At 33.9% G+C, this 19,133-nt stretch overlaps 1 protein-coding gene across 33 annotated transcripts in view; it reads right to left on the bottom strand.

Annotated features, from left to right (window-relative positions):
• Nucleotides 1-19,133, bottom strand: part of RFX3 (regulatory factor X3) — a 307,705-nt gene that overhangs the window by 52,255 nt on the left and 236,317 nt on the right. For 30 of the 33 annotated variants that reach the window (XM_047423701.1, XM_047423699.1, NM_001282116.2 and 27 more), the window contains 4 exons: nt 17,580-17,699; nt 6,789-6,910; nt 4,949-5,061; nt 452-567 (listed from right to left, as the gene is read on the bottom strand). In XM_047423701.1, the coding sequence (XP_047279657.1) occupies nt 452-567; nt 4,949-5,061; nt 6,789-6,910; nt 17,580-17,699 (471 nt within the window). Of the gene's footprint in view, nt 1-377; nt 568-4,948; nt 5,062-6,788; nt 6,911-12,177; nt 14,749-16,005; nt 16,059-17,579; nt 17,700-19,133 lie in introns of those variants that run through there. The other 3 variants (XM_006716847.3, XM_017015002.3, NM_001282117.2) reach the window with 3 other exon arrangements.

Genomic DNA, 19,133 nt, shown 5'->3' on the forward strand with positions numbered 1-19,133 from the left:
ATAGATGGCAAATGAGGATAAAAAAGAAAATGGACTTTAAAAATAGTTTAAGTTTACCAAATATTACTGAGGTTAGAACTATACCACCATTGCACTGGTGCCATACAGCTGGCTATATATACCGAGAGAGACAGACAGATATATAAAACACTCCCCCAGAGCTGTCTATGCACATTTGTATTTTCTGACGGTATGAAAGGCAGATATGATAGTAATTCCATGAGGATGAAATAACTACCACAGTCCCCCAAATCAGTACAAATGGGAGCTATATACACACACTGAAACCTCAAGAGAGCAGTTCATGGTTTATTTCTAGGATGGCCAAAACATCAATCTATTCAATTAATGTCATCAGGTAAGGTTCACAACTGGTATACATATCTCTAATTTATTAGTTGTGACATCTACTCAGCCATGAAAATGAATTGGAAAAGATGTTGATTCTGACCTCGATTCGGTAATGGTAGTGCCATCAGTTGGAGTAGAGGGAGAATAGCGCCAGAATGTTTGCCACAATTTTTCTATCAGGCTAAATTGAAGATTCACAACAACGTCCAATATTGCCTAAAAAACAAAATGGTACCAGTATTACCTTACAATATTATTTACGGGACTGTGTGAGGACAGTCTAACATGACAAGATTTTATATGGTCAAGTTCTCCCTTGGGGTCATAAGTTAACATGGTGAAACTACACTAAATTTTACCAAAGGAAGTGGAAGAAAAAAAAAAAAGAAACTAGCTAGGAAGAAGATAAAGAGGGGAAAATTCTTGGAAGATTAAGCAGGATAACATTCTTTTCATAATGTATTCATGCCACCCTCACTTCTACCTCTTTTTTCTTCCATTTTTCATTTTTGCTTTCATTCCTCTCTTCTTTCCTTCCCTCCCTCCCTCCCTTCCTTCCTTCCTCCTTTCTTTCCTTCCTTCCCTTCCCTTCCCCTTCCTTCCTTCCTTCCCTCCCTCCCTTCTTTCTTTCTCTCTTTCTCTTTCTCTCTTTCTCTCTCTCTTTCTTTCTTTCTTTCCTTTACCTACTGCTTCTTTCTGCCTCTATAGTTACTGTCACCCTACCTATTCTAAGACCTGGAAGGGTACAAAACATAGATTCAATTACCAGCAGTCCTCTTTGGGCTAGGTAACCACTGGCCATCACAGCAGGTGGAAGTGAAGGGTGTGGAGTTGCTTTTGTGTGGCAGATGGAGTTAGGGCTGAATTAGCTTTGTCTAAGGCAGCTGACCACAGGTTCCACTGTGTTCCCAGCCAAACAGAGGCTGGGGCAGAAACCATGGAGTCAGCAGGCCTTCAGTGGATACTGCCTCTCTGGGCATAGCATTCAACATTAAAGAGAATCCAATCCTACCTCTGCATACCTCCTTTACGGAACAACCTTAAGACTATCTCCTTTTCAAATCTCGGGGGCCTCACCTCCTCTTTCTCCTTTTTTATCTCCTAGAACTATTTCCCAGATGCATCTAAGACTTTTTTTTATGGTGCTTAAATGTACCACTTTCCGTTAACTGTCAATGATGATAATTTTACCCTGTCATTGCAATTAGTTTGTAAATAAGCCTTCAGGTAAAAGCAGGCATAAAACTAAAGAATAACCTGTTTGTGCCAAGAACACATGATTTTGTGATTATTTTGGGCATTAAAAGACAGAAGTAGTCAGTATAATGTGATTGATGTCATCACCTTTGAGGCAAAGGTAAAACAGCCCCACAAAGATCTATAAAATTCGTGGAAGATAAAAGAAATCAGGGGACAATCTAGAGTGTCTATAAGAGTATTGTAGGCAAAAACAACAAACCATAACTTCATATTTGTTGAGTTTGGGCCACCTGTATAGAGCTGGCCCAATGTATGATACACACAATAACTGGTATGAAATATATTCTAAAAGTATAAAATGTTGCAAGTAGTTAAATATTGAAAATGAAGATAGGGAGACAAATTAATTTAGACAGTCCTCAGTAACAATAAAAATGCAAAATGCAAGCTCTGAAAATAAAGGGCATGTAGATGTCCCTCATCCCAGCAAAGATCAAAATCTTCTCCAGCAGCAAATTTTTGTAACTGCTTTCTCAATTGTAGCTTAGGCACATTCCAAGAGACATCTCTAAAAGTGTGGAGCAACTATTAATACCTTATACATAATACCTTATATAGTTCTATATATGAGATTGCTGTAAGAACACTTCTTTTAACCTACATTAAAAAAAATATTTCAGCAACTTGTATAAAAAGTTACACTTGCTCCTTACATAACAAACTAGTGATACAAAAATATCTTTGATAAACAAATTGTGAGAATTCCCAATAACAGGCAAAGTAGGTATATTAATCTTTCTTTAAAAATATGTACTGTAGGAAATGTGAAATATAATTAGGCAAGTAAAGAATTTCAGTGTATCTTAAATTCAGTATCTCTTCAAATTAAATAATCTCAAATAACTCTTTCAAAAAAGACATTCATATCAGCTTCATTTGAGGCAGTTTTACACATGAATAAAACATTTTATCATTTGTCCACCTACTTTCAAATATGTTCAGACTAAAATATATAGGCAAATATAAATTAAAATAATCCATATTCTACTGGCTTAGGGCAAATGACTACGGGACTAAATATGAGATTCAGGCAGCTGTATTTCAAAAGTTTTTCATATTTATTCAAAATGAATATTTATTAACAGGAAAAAATAATTAGAATTTTTCTTTTTTATATATGCAGCTCAGCCCTATGAGAGAGATGGTAGGAACACTGGTAATTCTGAAATAAATGGGGATCATTCTGTGGACTGCCATTTTCCACACAGATTATAATATATGTCCCTATTTCTTCATAAAAAGTATATTTTTGAAAATGGTATGTTAATACAAATCTTATAATTCAAAGACTATTTCAACCTTATTCAGGGGAGTTTGTCACTTAGAATAATCTTACTGTATGTTTTGTAGCAATGTAAATAATTATGCTCCAACTTACATTCTTAATAAATAGGAGAAATTTTTTAAAAATCCATTATAGGGTGGGCACAGTGGCTCATGCCTGTAATCCCAGCACTTTGGGAGGCTGAAGCGGGTGGATCACTTCAGGTCAGGAGTTCAAAACCAGCCTGGCCAACACAGTGAAACCCCATCTTTACTGAAAATACAAAAAGTTAGTGGGGCGTGGTGGTGCATGCCTGTAATTCCAGCTACTGGGGAGGCTGAGGCAGGAGAATCGCTTGAACCCAGGAGGCGGTGGTTGCAGTGAGCCGAGATCGCACTACTGCACTCCAGCCTGGGTGACAGAGTGAGACTCTGTCTCAAAAAAAAAAAAAAAAAATCCATATAGGCTGGTTTGCTTAAAGTAAGGTTCACTTGAACACATGGGAATGAGAAATTGTTTAGAGAATCTTTACACAAATCTTTATTGAATAAGATGATAAATGTAGAAAGAAATAATTTTCTCTATATACATAAGGAAAATCCAGAAATTCTCTAATATGGGTAAAAGCATAGTAGTCAAAGGAAAATGAATATTAAGTGCTTTCATCATTCCAAGGAATGTTGGGAACTGGTAGGACACGTTGAAGAACACTTCTGGCACATGTTGTGTTAATAAGGAGAGAACCTGCCCTTGGTGGTTAATAATCTAGTACCCTTGACAAGCACTCAGATTTGCGCTAGCAATTCTTATTTCTGGTGTCGGGGAAAATGTCTATTAATGCTATGAGCTAAGAACCTCTTACTGCATACTGCATTGTCAGCAGTCAGGAGGACTGCCCAGGAAATCCAAAGGATTATCTTTTACTCCTAAGTAGATCACAAATATCCCTGGAATAAAGCTACTTAAATTCTAAATAGACTCTTCTTTCAAAAGAAGCACTCAAGAAAACTCTTACTATAATCCATTATCCCCTTTTTGCCAGGTGAGCTGTGGTACATTAATGTGCTGGCATGCAGAGAGCTCACCTCCCAGACAATGAAGCAAATTCTGATGTGGGATACTCAGAACGAGAGTAGGAGTAGGGCTAGAAAACACCAAAAGGAACCCTAATTAACCACAAAAGTGAAACAAACAAAACTGGAACCTCAGTGATCCCTGGAAAGAACACCTAAGGTGGTTTATTAAACATTTCCAGAAATTATTTTAATAGAAATATACACTTATGATATAAAATTCAAAAGATAAAACAGGTCTGTTGAAAAGTTGAGTCTCTCCCCTCTAACTCCCAGTCACCCAGTTTCCTTCACAAAGGCAACCACTGTTAACATTTTCTTGTTCTTTCTCCTTCTGGATATATATATATCCATATATAGATATGTATATCCATACATATGGATATATATATGAAGGAAAAGGAAGAAACATACATATATACACATACATAAACACACATGTTATTTTTCACTCAAGTGAAAATATGTATACATAATTTTTTGCATTTGCTTTTTCTTTTAACTTTAAATCTCGAAGTGATCCATTTTGGTATGTGTATAGAGTTGCCTATTCTTTTGATGGCTGTATAGTATTCTACTCTAAAGATTGTATTAATACCATATTTTATTTATGCAGCTCCCTACTAGATAAAGAAATTATAACCAATCTTTTGCATTAAAAATAATAATGCAACAAATGCCCTTGTACACTTCTCTTGTCACCCAGATATAAATATTTTTGTAGGACAAATACCTAGAGGTGGAATTGCTACGCCAAAGGATTCATATTAGGATAGGCTTAAGAAATAGAGAATAAAACTTATTCTCACTTTTCTGCATTCCTCATCTCTCCACTCTGAGACCAGAAAGAAGAAAAATGAATTTGTTAGTGCTAAAAGATACGCTCAAAAGAATTAGTGCTAAGTTCACCTGTCCTTTAGGAATAAGCTTGATTATTTTATATTAGCAAGTTATCTGGCAAAACCTAGCATGTGTTCATACTACATTTGAAAAGACTTACCTCACAGTGCTCTCTATAAAGACTCTGCAGTGACTTGATATCCTCAAAGGTAGTACCATCTGGCAGAGAAGAGATTTCAACTTCTCCAAACTCTGGAAGTGCTCGAGATGCATCTGTTACCGTGACAACAGAACAGAAAAAAGCTATTGTGGATGGTGCCAATTACAGATTAATGAGGGAAAATTTAAGAAGACCAAAAAGAAAAACAAATTTTAAAGGTCAGGGGTCCAGAGAGCAAGGACATTTTATATTAATATTTTACAAGTAAAACTAAGCAACATCATCAGCACAAAATATAAAACTAAAGGGAACATTCTTAAGAATTTTCTAGAAACAAAATTTGCAATACAATTATACTGCAAATAGTATACTGCATATCACAGTGTCTCTCAACACAAGGCCCCTATTAAAAGAAAAATATCTCGAGCTTGCTAGTACCTATTTTAGATATTTTTATTATGTTGTTTAATTACATAAAAAAACGAATTTTAAACTCATTATGTTCTTAACTGTTATAGAGTCATAAACCTAAAGAGCTACAAAGCAGATACAAAGAAAACTACAAAAATAACATACAATTTAACAACATTAATTTGATGTGATGGATGATGCTCTTGTCCTGTAACTAAGTTATCTCTTGCAACAAGGATCAGTATTGACTGCCGCAGCACAGGATCTTTTGGGTCTGACAGATCTATACCAACATGTGCTTTGTGGTGGCTGCTTCTCCTATTACTCTTCTATGTACAAATGACTGTGAAACTTTCCTTCACACAGAATACAGGGACATGATCTAGGCTTCCCTTGTGAGGGAGGCGTAATTTACATAGTAAGTCTCTCTGTGTTCTTTTCTTATTAGCTCTGGACAATTAATGTAAGACATTTTGGTGCCTGTCTTACCATAAATCCAGGTACAAATATGGAAACTAAAATTGCAGAACAGTATTTAGTTCTAGTTTTCTAGGTAATCCAGAATATGCTTAGTTTTTAAGATGATAATCGAAGTGAAATCACAAAATAAAATTCTTGTTGAATGACCAAAGGTCCACAAGAATATAACCCTAGGACTTCAGTCTGAGAAACGCTGCCATGTTTTCAACTTCAGTAATGATTCCAACCTGAGAGTCTATTTTAGTTGTCTTTGTCAGAAAGTGCACATAGACACATATACACACACACAGACACATACACACAGTCACTCTCTGATACCTTCTACTTATCTTGACCTGTTATATGGAAAATATGCATGTTCATCTCTAGAAGAGTTGTCAATCAAATTAAAGTGCCACTTTTTTGCCCCTTTGGCTATGGCAAAAATATGAAAAATATGCAAGTTTTTCTTCCTAACTCTTTCAATAACAAGAAACATGTATTCCATCTATAAATTACAAAAATAGAAAGTACTGTGATTAATTTAAATGAATAAATTACTTTAAAAAAGTTTATAAAAATTTTTTTTCTAATCTGAGCCTGTGCATATATAACTTTATACATAGGAAATGAGAATTCTTTTTGGCACTTGAAGTTACTACTGAAAGTAAACAGCATAATTTTGATCACAAAAGCCGAATAATACAAATTCTGGAAAACAATTTCATAGCAATGAGTCTTTAATTCATACGCATAAAAGTCCTATATAGCTCGAGATTTTTAAAAATAAGCTCTAATAAACACGAAAGGCAGACATGAACTAGGACTGTTATACATATGATGTGCATAATTTTGGCACCAAAAAAAATCTTTCTATGTCATTGACATCTATAATAGACATTGCACTTGGAGAAAAGACTAACTTTTCAAAATCCTAGTAGCAACTAATATGCATTACACCTTAACATACCTAAAAACTGTTGATGATGTTGGCTTTGGGCAATTACAGTTTGCTCAACAGATGTGCCTGTCTGTTGACCACTTCCTGTGAAACCATCTGCAACCCCATCCACTTTCTGCATAGGCTTGTACCTAAAAATATTAGATGGAAAAAAACAAATAAACCAAATTATTCCTTGCTTTTTTGTACTACCCGAAACTCCCAAAGCATTCAGTTTTATTCTATCTTCTTTAACGTCTCATGATAGTTGTAGGATTTTTTTCCTTGATAGTCTCATAAAGTTAGAAGGCAATATTTTTTTCAATTGTGAAAAGAAAAAAGGGGAGAAGGGATGCATGAAGGGGACCCATTTTTGGAAATCCAGAAATTTACCTAAGAATGAAAGAATTATAAGGTATTTCTTTGGACAGCAGGAGCAAAGATGTCCATGATTAAGTTTTAATACACAGCTTGAAAGTAACTTTTAATGGTCAATGGATATATTGGAACTTTAATCTGAACAATGATCTAGGAGCTCAGGCCTGAGAAATGTTGATGAATGGCTTTCAATTAGTTAATATCTCTAAAACATGATCAGCCTACAAATCCTATCATATTGTTTTTCATATCTCCTAGAACCTTTCGTGCATCTCAACACATTTATCTCCATGACAATTATCAACATCCTCAAATACAAAGGCCATAAGCATCATTTTGTAGCAAAATATATGCAAGAATCAATCTACAAACAGAGTTTATCAAATTAAAATAAAGAATCAAAGTCAGTTAAAGTTATGTATCTTCAGGTCCTAGTCATACAAACTTATGTATTTTCCATACAGCTAAGATAGAAAAAAATGTGCTTCAGTGGCATGGGGAAGAAGGAAGATGTCTTGAAAAAGAAATATCATATAAAAAAACAAAACATAAAAAAGCCTGGCCAAGTATCCTAGGATAAGCAAAACAAAATAAGTAAGCAGCAACTGTAATTTCTTCTTTTTCTCTGATTCCACTTATTTTTCTTCATTTTATAAATTTGGAAACAACAGAAAAGCGTAAGAAAAAATTAAAATCTACAATAAACATACTATCTAGAGATAACATTCACACTATGCTGTCTGGCCTCCCATTCTTTTTTTTCCCTATTTCTAATTATATTTACAAACAAACTAGTATTCTCACCATCCAGACACTTGACCCCTACATTGATACTAAAATTCAACTGCATCATTAATATGAAGTTACTATGAATAACAATGACCCTAATATGTGAACAGGACATACTCAAAGATGCCTGCATGCTGACAACAAATATGAAGTCACCGAACCTGGTAGAACATCATACAAACTAATGCTCAGCTTGCCTTAGGAAATGAATCAATCTTGGATGTTATCAATTGCAACTCAGATAAATGAAATTTTCCAAATAATTGCCAAATCTCTCATAATGACATTTACATTTATTTCTTATGTGACAGTATCTTACAAACAACTATGAAAAACAAAAAATAAAGTCAGAGGGGGAAGAGATTGGAAATCAGTACAGCACTCTTCATCCTCATGAATATAATTTTAGTGATGACTCCTCATTACAAAAAAATTGATTGCTGTTTTCTAATGAGAGAAAAGAACTCAGATCTAATCTTTTACTTAATGGAAAAACCTTCTGGGAGGTACTTTTCAACTGGGGCCATATCCAAATATAACAGAAGAGTTAGTGTTGTGATGTGCTAGATGCCTTGTTTATTAAAAATTTAATGTTTTTCTGATTTTTTTTTCCTCCTTAAAGAATCATCTTTGAGAAGCAAAGAAACTTCATGAGGCAAAAAAGCACTTTGTGTACATGTGCGGCAGAGCAGTTGCTAGCCATTCTGTTGTAGCAGACTTGAATGATTTTAACCTTATTTTGTTCAGGAAAGTTTCTTTTCCTTATTGATTCATTCCAAGTTTCAACTGATTTTAGCTTCCCCTTTTCAGCTATGGAATTGTGTCTCATTAATAAAATAGCCTAAAATTGTTTAACCATGTTTCTTCATTTAAGTTAATGGAGTTTGGGATTCACAGAGCTTGAATAAAAGTGGTTAAAGGAATTTGAGTTATTAATATTTACCCTGGAGGAGGAAAAAATGAAAATAATTCCAATAGACTTCAATTACATTAATTTTTAATACAGGATTGCAAAATTATTACAAGACTTTGCCCAGTTATGCTCTGCCACATTTCTTTGTCCTACAAAGCATTTAACATACTACAGGTGCTTAATAGGCACAAATATCAAGGGCAAATGGAATTTAACCATAAAAGAAAATGACTTATATTCCACTTAGACTGTAAGTTTTCAAAAGACAGATGTTACATCACAATCTAACTGCGCACAATGCTTAGGAATACTATAGCCTACAAGCAAAATTGTCTGCTTCCTTAGGAAGATGGAGACAGCTGTTAGTATTGCAAATGAAAGTTCCTAATGAAAGGAGAGATTATATTTTTAATAAGGAATCAAAATCATGATGCATTATAATTAACATATGATTATACTTAATGATACTGAGTGGGAAACACTAATTAGAGATAAACTATATTATGTGGGAGATGAAAAATGCATCAAGATCAACTTTTAGGGCAAAGAAGGAGGTAAGTTGGTAAATTCTGGAGAAACTATGCAGGTCAGTACTTAGGAAAAGATTTTATAATACACAGTTGAAATAAAGAAAAACACAGAAAATATATCAGAACTTGGAAATGAGTGTTTTTTCATTCTAACCACAAGAGTAAGGGTAGCACGGTGAATAGTGGATTGAAAGATGGACAGAGATTGAGCAAAGACACACTATGTGCATTCATTCTTGGTTGCTTGGCTACAGGACCTCTGCAAGCCAGAAGCATATGTTATGCCTCCTGGGAAAAGGTCTAGGGACAAAGTTTAGGATGGGTTTGTGCCATAAAGAATGACATCAAGATGGTAATATGGAATACAGCTCATGTACAAGAGGGCTAATGTGGGCCTGTAAGTATGAGAGAGCTTCCAGGTAGTGATAACTTTTGCTTTTCTTGCTTTAAGTAATGAATCATGTCATGGTATATCGACAATGTATTGTCTGGCAATGGATTGGAACTTAGAAAAAATCCCCAGAAATCAGAAATACTGGACTGAGAAAGCCTAGATCCTCATTTTCAAGGTACCCTAACTAAGGAAAATATCCTACCCCTACCCTCACCTCTGAAGTTTGTGTCTTCCCAAAGAAGGAGGGAGTTTAACAGGAAGTCAAGAACAATCACATTAAAAACAGGCTAAACAAATACCAGTAGCAACTGATTCTTCTTGGAAACAGTGGTTGTAGATTATATATCACTGCTTTTGAAATCTAAGTGCATATCAATATCTAGGTAGTTTTTCAAAAAATTCAGGTGCCTAGGCTCACCCTAGATCCACTCCCAAAATATTTGAGAATGGAGCTTAGGAACTGGTTATTCTAACAAGTTTCTGAGGTATTTCTTAAGTAGGTAGTACAGCCTAATCCACAGGAGCCTGTTGGTCCCAAATAGATTCCTTCAGCCCAATGTTGTAGAAATACATCAATTAATATTAGAAAAACATCATTTTAAACAAAATAAGTCATTAATTTTTAACTTTTCTCAATAAACTATATTTGGAATGTACAATAAATATATTTGAATGAATAAATGTTTAAGGTAACATGCTTGATTTTATCATATCATCAACTGATTTTGTATATATATCAAATCAATTTAACAAATATTTATTGAGCACATACTGTATTATGGGTAGGCCACTATAGGCACATGGTTTTTAAAATGCTGGGTATAAATATAATTTTTCCAAGATGTCTTTTATATTCTATTGGCTTACATAGTAATTCTACATTATGTTAACCTTGGTTGAATTTCAACTGACATTATAGCATTGAAACATGACTTGTAGATTTTCTGATTCTCTATACTCTTCATAAAATAATCACCATAAACTTTATCAAATCTACCATATCAGGAGAATAATAAATTTTAAAAAACAGGTAAGATTTCCATTGAAAAAAAAAAAGTCAAACAAAAACCTTCCTGTTGAATCCTTTAAAAATACTGAACTTTTTAATATTTAAGAGTATTTTCCTCCCTTTACTTCCATTTACTTTATGAATTAATTATTTTTAGATTTGGTTTTCCCAGAGTAAACTCTTAGTACTCTTTCATTGAGTGTGCTCTGAGAAAGACCTGTGCTTTATCAAATAATGAAACAGCACTTGGTTTCAAAATTAGTAAGAGGCAAATGATAATTTTAACAGCTTGCAACTCAATGGGTAATCAGTGCTAAAGTTGTTAATGATTAAGAAATAAAAGAAACTCTCATGCTTTAATAGCTGACTGTATGCATAAAACCTGTCACTAACACAGAAAACTTAGAAAATAATTAGGAATCTTCCTCCATGGGGTTAGTCACAGCTGCTATTTAGGACTTGGACAGTTGTAACTCTACTGTAAAAGTAATATTCTGTCAATCCCACACACATGGGTACTAAAACAGTCCAATGGAAGGCAAAGAATGGTATATATTTACCATTACATTCAACTAACAGCACCAGGTGGAAGGATTTTCTACAGATTAAATGAAACATTTGGAAAATCCTTTCAAAGTGGCTGAAAAATGCACATGCAAACACAAAATATAAACTGTATAGGCAAAAGGAGACATCATTATGTTTTGTAATTCCAGAAATTACACAATCATTTTATTTGCATGAATAAATTGAAATACTGAGCTCAGAACAAGGGCAGGAGGCTAGAATTTTCTACTGGAATCTTGTAATCTCTTTGGAAAAAACTGTCCCAGAAAGTCTTTAGATGACTTCATGTCTGAAATGAACCAAGTGATATAAACGCTAATGGATCAGAAGAAAATAGTAAATATGAAGAGTTCCACTCTTTTAGAATAGTAGCTAATTTTGATGTTACACTGAATATACTGATAATATATGCAAATGACTTCTAACATCAACCATGCTGGTTAATGATAGGTATTCCATCTCTTCCATTCTTGTTGGTGGCTCTCTGAGTATTTGTCTCTTCATTAGCTTTACATCTATAATCGGGCAAGAAGAGGTGGAAAAAATTAAATTGAAATGGGCTATATGTTAACTGCAGCAGGTAAAGGAGGAGGTTGAAGCTGCTGGCGAAAATCAGAGTTGTGGGTCATTCATTCATTTAACAAATATTTAGAGAGCACCGACAATGTGCTTAGAGCTCTCCCAGGTGCTGAGGATGCAGTGCTGAAAGAGGCAGACATGATTCTCTGATCTCATGAATTTCTTCATTGAGTCCTCTAAGCATAGGTGGTTTATGGTTAGCTGTATAGAACTGATATATTCTTGCTACAAGTATGCATGACACTTCTTTTATCTCTTACCCTTTCCCACCTTCTTTATTTGAAGAATGACAATCTGGCTCCATCTGATGCCAAGAGATAAACAATAACAACAACAAAAAAGGCAACTGAGGTTCTATCTAGGAAGAAATAAATTAGTGAGCTTCTTGAATACAGCAAAATTAAGTGGTCCTCAGTTTCCTTATCAGTAAGTAACAATATAATTGCCAATGAGATCTTGCATGTAATGTGTTTACTGAAAAATATTTTAAATGTTCCACAAATACTACTCAGGAGCATAAGTGGTGACTGTTATTATTAACAAACTACATAAATTACTATAGTTTGGTAGTTATTGAGTTGTGATTATTTATGTTTCTCCTCTCTTCAATAGAAAAGATTATCATTACATCACCAGGGAATTAATGTCTAGGAAAGGAATGATAAACTATTAACATCAATCAAAGTTAGAAACCACTAGCCTAGAGGTATAGAGAAATGGAAGCCCAATCTGACCAATTGCCAGGCTTCATTCTCCTCCAAAACACTAAATATCCCATAAGAAAGATATTTTTCTGTAGTGCTCATCATATAATAATGATCCTAATAATAATTATCTAACACTTTAACACTTCCAGTTATTAAAAAAATTTTCAGATACGTTATTCCACTTGAACTTCAAAACAATCTGTGAGATAGTCTATTATGAATTTCTATTTTGCAGATGAAGAAACTGAGGCTCAGTGAAGTTAAGTCATACACTCTGCAGAAGTGCCTATGTAGCCTGTACTCAATTCCCCATTTTCCAATTCTAAATATAGGGTTCGTTTAACTAGTCTATGAACCCTATATTAAGAAAGGCCATCTAATGATAAAAGTTCTTAAATTTCCTCTCTCACTTCTAAAAGAACGTGCATGCTTTTACATCTATCTACAGCCAAAACAAAAGTAGGCTTGCTGTACCATCTTTCCAAATGACCTCTTCTTCTCTCTTCTTAAGTGACATTCTTACTTCACATCCTGTGAAAGAAAGGTTTATTCTTTCACAGAATCCAATTGCTGTGAAGAGACCATGCAAAGAGGCAGGAGGTGGCACATTTCCTCAGTTACTTGAAACATACTCATTAAAATGTGATTTCTCCCTTTATTTCATATGCAAAAATTTTATTACGTGTATTTCTGTTTGGGTTATCTTACCTCTTTGAGGGTGGAATTCTCATGAGAATAAAGACAAGAGTTCTTAACCTGGTTGCTATATGACTGTGGATAAGTTATTTAACCTTTATGGACTTCGGTTTTCTCATCAACAGGATAAGTTGGACTAGGTGATTTCTTCCTTCCTTCTCTAACATTCTATGATTCTGTGTTATGTCTTTTAGATGTGATTGACAGATTGTGTATGCAAATAACAACTGATAAGTATTTGTTGAAGAAATGATAAATGACATTTAATATTTTGAGAATGGCTACTGGGATCAAACACAGCCAAGCATATTAACAAAAGCATTTGGCTTTTACTACTGGAATTTGGAAAAATATCTAAAATATACATGCCAATACTCTCTGTGTACTTCTTTTCATTATCAAAAATAAACTGCAGCAAATACTGTTACTTAGTTTGAAGAGGTGGAAATTACTGATGTCCTTTTTGCTCTATAATAATCTAACTTACTTATTATCTAAATTAGGGTAAACAAATTAGTCTATGAGTGCATTTCGTCAAAAACTGAAGATTACTTCATTTTAGTGCAAAAAAATTATTTTCATATGAAGTATTTTCAATAGAAGTTTTTTTTAAAAAAACTGTTACACAGTCTCCTGCCTCCTTAACCATGGTATTTTACCTCCCCTTGATTACCCATAATGCCATCAATATGCAAAGCAGTTGTTATATTGTGTTAGGCTAGATTTTAGTCATTAGAGTGATATTTGAAATATTTACTGGAGTGCCTAGGTCCATTTGCCCCTCCACGGAGTGTCCACAAACTGTTGTACTGAATAATTTTAAACAGAAGACCCTGTCTACTTGTATTTCTTCTTGGCAGCTGTCATAGTTCATGACTGCCTGTGAATCAAGTGGGCTCTAATCTCCTTTATTTTAGGTAAAATGGCTTGAGAATGGCTTTATCTTTTCAACTAACTGAAACTGCAGGCTCTATGACATCTGCTTTCCAATCAGAAGCTGTTTACATTTATTTTCCGACTCATGGCTATGTTCCATACAGTGGTATTGCTGGGAATTGGATTTATAGATAAATGGAGATTTCCTCTACCACCCCATCAAACCTTCAAGTGACACCTTGTATAAAGGAGCTCAAGAAATTGTGAGCTATATAAAAACAATAATCATTCTTATCCCTACAATGACTATAATTCCAAATTCATGAGAAAAATGTACAATTGAGCTCCAAAAGTTATATTTAATTAACAAAATAATCACTGCATAGACTTGCATTTCTTCACTATAAGAACATATAAAACAAATTTACATTATGAAAGATAAGCACACATGGATGCATTTAATAAACCTTCAAGTATTCAAACAACGTGAATATTTTGAAATATCTTCTATTTTATACTTTAAACCTTTCACATGTCATTTGTATTTTTACAAGAGACTGGCAGTCTCTTTATATAATTTTTACTGTATTCAGTAGAATCATTTGAATTTTGAAATTGAAAATTTTTTTAAGCCATAAAATATATTTTTAAGAAGTTCTTTTCCCACTGTTTTCAACAAATATTCTTAAATTAGTTTATGTCCACACCCATGAAAAGAAACTCCTTCTTTCCTGTCTAAATATTTCTGCACAACAGGGTAACTGGTTTCAGTTAAGGCTTATCAATGTTGTCAGTGGACAGATTCCTTCAGAGAGACCACAGAAGACTCCTGCTGCCCTATAAGAGAGGCCCATGCAATTGGCAACAGTAACACTGCAATCAGTTAGCAAGACATCATTTTAAGAGCAACTGTCTATAATCCTAAACTTGTATCATTAAAAAAACACAACAAATTAAAGGAAGTTTCAGTACTTCTTTGGTTCTTTCACATTCCTGTTTCGTAAGAAATAAGAATCAAATTCAATTTATTAATACTACTGAGATTCTTATATCATTTCTGAAATGTCTCCATATTTTATCTGTTTCCAAACTCAAGTACCACTATCCTGAGAATGCAGAGGTTTTTATGGCTTGCTAATCTTTATAGAATCTGTTTCATGAGGAGACCACAGAAAGTACTGGGCCTTACTTATGTAACTCAGGTTTTTTTTATAAAGAATGTCCCTTGAAGGCTTCTATTTCTATGAAAGCTTGCTAGAATTCCTGGCAGTTAAATCACAGGAAATTCCTTGCAGTCAAATAATGGGCTTCAACTGTCTTAGGTATAATTTATTAAGTTTTTATTCATACTTAAGTTTGAGTATATGTTATTTCTGAAGCAAACTTTCTTTTTCTTGATTTCACCATCATCTCCACTGTGTAGTGGTGCTATGCATGAGTGCAGAAATCACACCAAAAAGTAAAGGCTACAAGTGCTGCCATTAACAGATGCAAAAAGCAATCATAACCCAAAATAGTAACAATTTATTGCAACTCACACAAACTCTATGAGGTACTATCCAACTCTATGAGGTACTATTCTATAATTTATTTTATTATTTTTTTCAGAGCCCTTCTTATTTTTCACTGGCTACACATCAAAAAATAAGAATCAGCAATAAAAAAATAAGATTGAGAATCTGTAATAAAAAATCTAAAACCTTTAAGATATCTTTTATATAATAGCCAACCTTGAACTGAGTCTTCAGTCTGGTGCACTTACACTGGAAATTATGACTGTGTAAAAAGCCACTGAACAAGGATCCTTACCTCCAGTCTCTTTCCATTAAATATGTCTTGCCCAAAATCAAAAAGTCATCTCTCTAGAAAAAATCAAAGTTTCATTGTTTTGCTTCAAAGCCTTACATAGCTTCAAAGCTATGTTCTGCACAAAGAACAAACTTATTAGCTTTACATACAAGCAAATCCCTTAATATATGATCCAAACTACTTTTAAGATCTCATCTCCCACTAAACTACTCAACCACCTCCTTGATTCTCCTTCTGTAATACCAGCCTCAATAAATATGTCATGGACCATTTACCACAGACATCATGGACTTCACCGCTAGGTGAATTTTCCTTCTGCTTCAATATTTCTCTTTTTATGACTCCTCTAAGTTCCTACTCAAAGAGCACTTTCTCTAGAAACTTCCCAATCTCCCTTTCTCCCAGATATTGCCGAAAACTCCTCTGTATTGTGATAGTTCCTTGATCAAAGTTTTATTTTAGCACTTCCCAGACTGTATTCCATTTTTTTTCCATTCTCCATGTGCCTCCCCTTCTAATTTTTTAACTCTTCAAACATAAGAACTGTGTCTTATCTCTGCATGCAGGGCTTAACATCAGTATTGGCTGACTAAATAGTATAAAATTACTGTGTGATATATTCTTTTCTCAGACATTATCTTAGAGTTAATGCTTCTGACTAAACTAGCATGGATAGGGAGATGTGGCCAAGGCAACTAATCACTACAGATCATTACACTGGGACCTATGCAGAGGCCTCCTTTCTCCTACCTAATTCTGCATGCTCACTTGAAAAGAAAAATCATAACTTCTGTCTTGGTTGAGCTATGCTGGTAAAGAGGAAAGGATTTTTTCATTTTGTTTACTCTAAATTGTGACATAAGTCACATGGGACTAGAAGGCCCTTAGCTATGCAACTTTATTTTGTGCTTGTGCAAATCATTTAACCTCTCTGGGACTCATCTGAAAAAACAGAAACTATTAATGCTTTGATTGTCATAAGGTTTTAAAGCCAGACTAGACTGACATATTTTTCAAATCTAAGATCTATGATTCTATTCATCCGTCCATCCATCCGTCCATACGTCCATCCATCCATCATTCATCCATCCATTCATGAATGCTTGAGATCTCTTACAACTCTAATATCAGCAATTCTGTATCTATGAAAGTTGGATTCAAAGCAAATGTAAGGCATCCCAAACATTCTGCAAGAATTCATACTGTGTCAAAAAGAATGACTTGAGAGATGTGCAGAATAGCAAGTCAGAAGCTCATGAATACTGAAACAAATTTCTCCAGTTGGTATTTGCTTGGGTATGCTCCTTATGTTTTGTGTTTCATTTCCCTGTCTGAACAGTTTGGGATGTCACACTTAAAAGGGGCCAAACGGCTGACTGATAAGTACTTTTTAAAAATTTGGAAAACAGGCGAGATCACTGAAATTCTAAATCATATTTAAGAACTATCTGTAGTGAAAGCATGCCAACAATAAGAACGTTCTTTTATACTTAGGTATTTGTTCAGAAAAAAGGAGACCCGAACAACTAAGAAATACATAGCTTGGACACATCAATGATAACTTCAGAGTCTACCTTTGTTTCTGTTGCATGGGTTGTTGTCTCATAGCCATATACTGCATGTCTTCTTGCAGACGATTAAGAGGGGAATCTGGCTTGACACGAATCCCATAGTAGTGGTATTTGGAGTTTCCTCTTCATTAATGAACAAGAAACATTAGAAACAAAAGTCAGTCAAACTAATATTAATCACATGGGATGTCCATTAAACTTCACACTTGGAAAAATTTGGTAAAAACAGTAAGTTAATGTTACATATTTATGATTAACCTGTTCTGAATACTTTTATGTTTTTATGGTGATAAAATTTGAAGAATCAAAATAAGATTCCAAATCAATCAGCTAAAGGCCCTGCTAAAAATATTTGTTTATAAACTTCCACTTAAATATTAGTCAAACAGTCCATTTGTTCCATACAAATTACATTCCATTTTCAAATTTCTATTTTAAATTTAGTTAAGAAGGGTAATGATAGGAAAAAAGTTTTTGGCCAGTAAAAATTAGTTAACAGGCCAATAAAAATTAGTCAATGGAATACGTATTTATTGTAAAGCATGTATATAGAACAAAGAAAAAATCTTAATTCTACTTTCCTGGATAAGTTTGACATTTTTCTCTTTACTTCAGTGATGATGAAGTAAGATAACTTAATTGTCTGTTACAAAATGTTGTGGTAAAGACTTACTTAATATTTTGAAACCTAAAAAGAAAGTAAGCCTTTAATCTGTTGATTTTGAAACACATTTTATTAGTTTCTGTTTTTATGGATTTGTGTTAGTTTTGCAGGCTAAACAGGATTTGTCACAGAAGAGATGGGGAAATTTCTCTATGAAAATGGCAAATTTCCACCTGGAATAAAAATGTCACAATTTCCCCATGTTCATGAGAAAGACCATGTTTGCTATTAGAAATGACAAAGTTTTGCTCTGAATGGAATTTGCAAATTCTTGCAAAATATCATTTTAAATATGTAAATTATTGCAAAGAGAAAATAGTAGTTTTTCACAAGTCCATATATAGCAATACATCAGCACTTTTTCCAATTTTTTCTTCCATTTACAAAAAGAAATGCAAGAAGAGTGTGGATTAAATATTTTTTATAAAAATAGAGCAGAATTGCACTTCCAAGATTTAAAAACATATATTAAATGAACCTTATATATATTTGAAGACATTAAAATTATACTATATAAATTATATTGCCAGTTTTTAAAAAATGCAGGGCATCCAAATACCTACATGCTTTCAGCACAATAAAGCAGATAGAGAAACTTAACGCCCGTAAAGAAAGGTCTTCTACTTGCAGAGATTAGATCTTGTCTCAAAAATCCACTGCAGAATGGTGCAATAAGCAAAACCAAAAAATTCCACATACCCAATTTGTGGCGTTCTCCTGTACAAGCTGGAGGACAGTAGGGAGTAGAGGTACGGTAGGAAGCAGGAGACATTACTTACAGGACAAAACTACAGAGGAAAATGATGTCTCTCTTGTGAGACCTCAAATAGATGGAGTGCTGAGTTTCTTTTTGGTTTCCTACAAATTAACATTTTAATTGGGTTGGGAGGGAG

This window comes from Homo sapiens, chromosome 9, assembly GCF_000001405.40.
Source record: "Homo sapiens chromosome 9, GRCh38.p14 Primary Assembly".
NCBI lineage: Eukaryota > Metazoa > Chordata > Mammalia > Primates > Hominidae > Homo > Homo sapiens.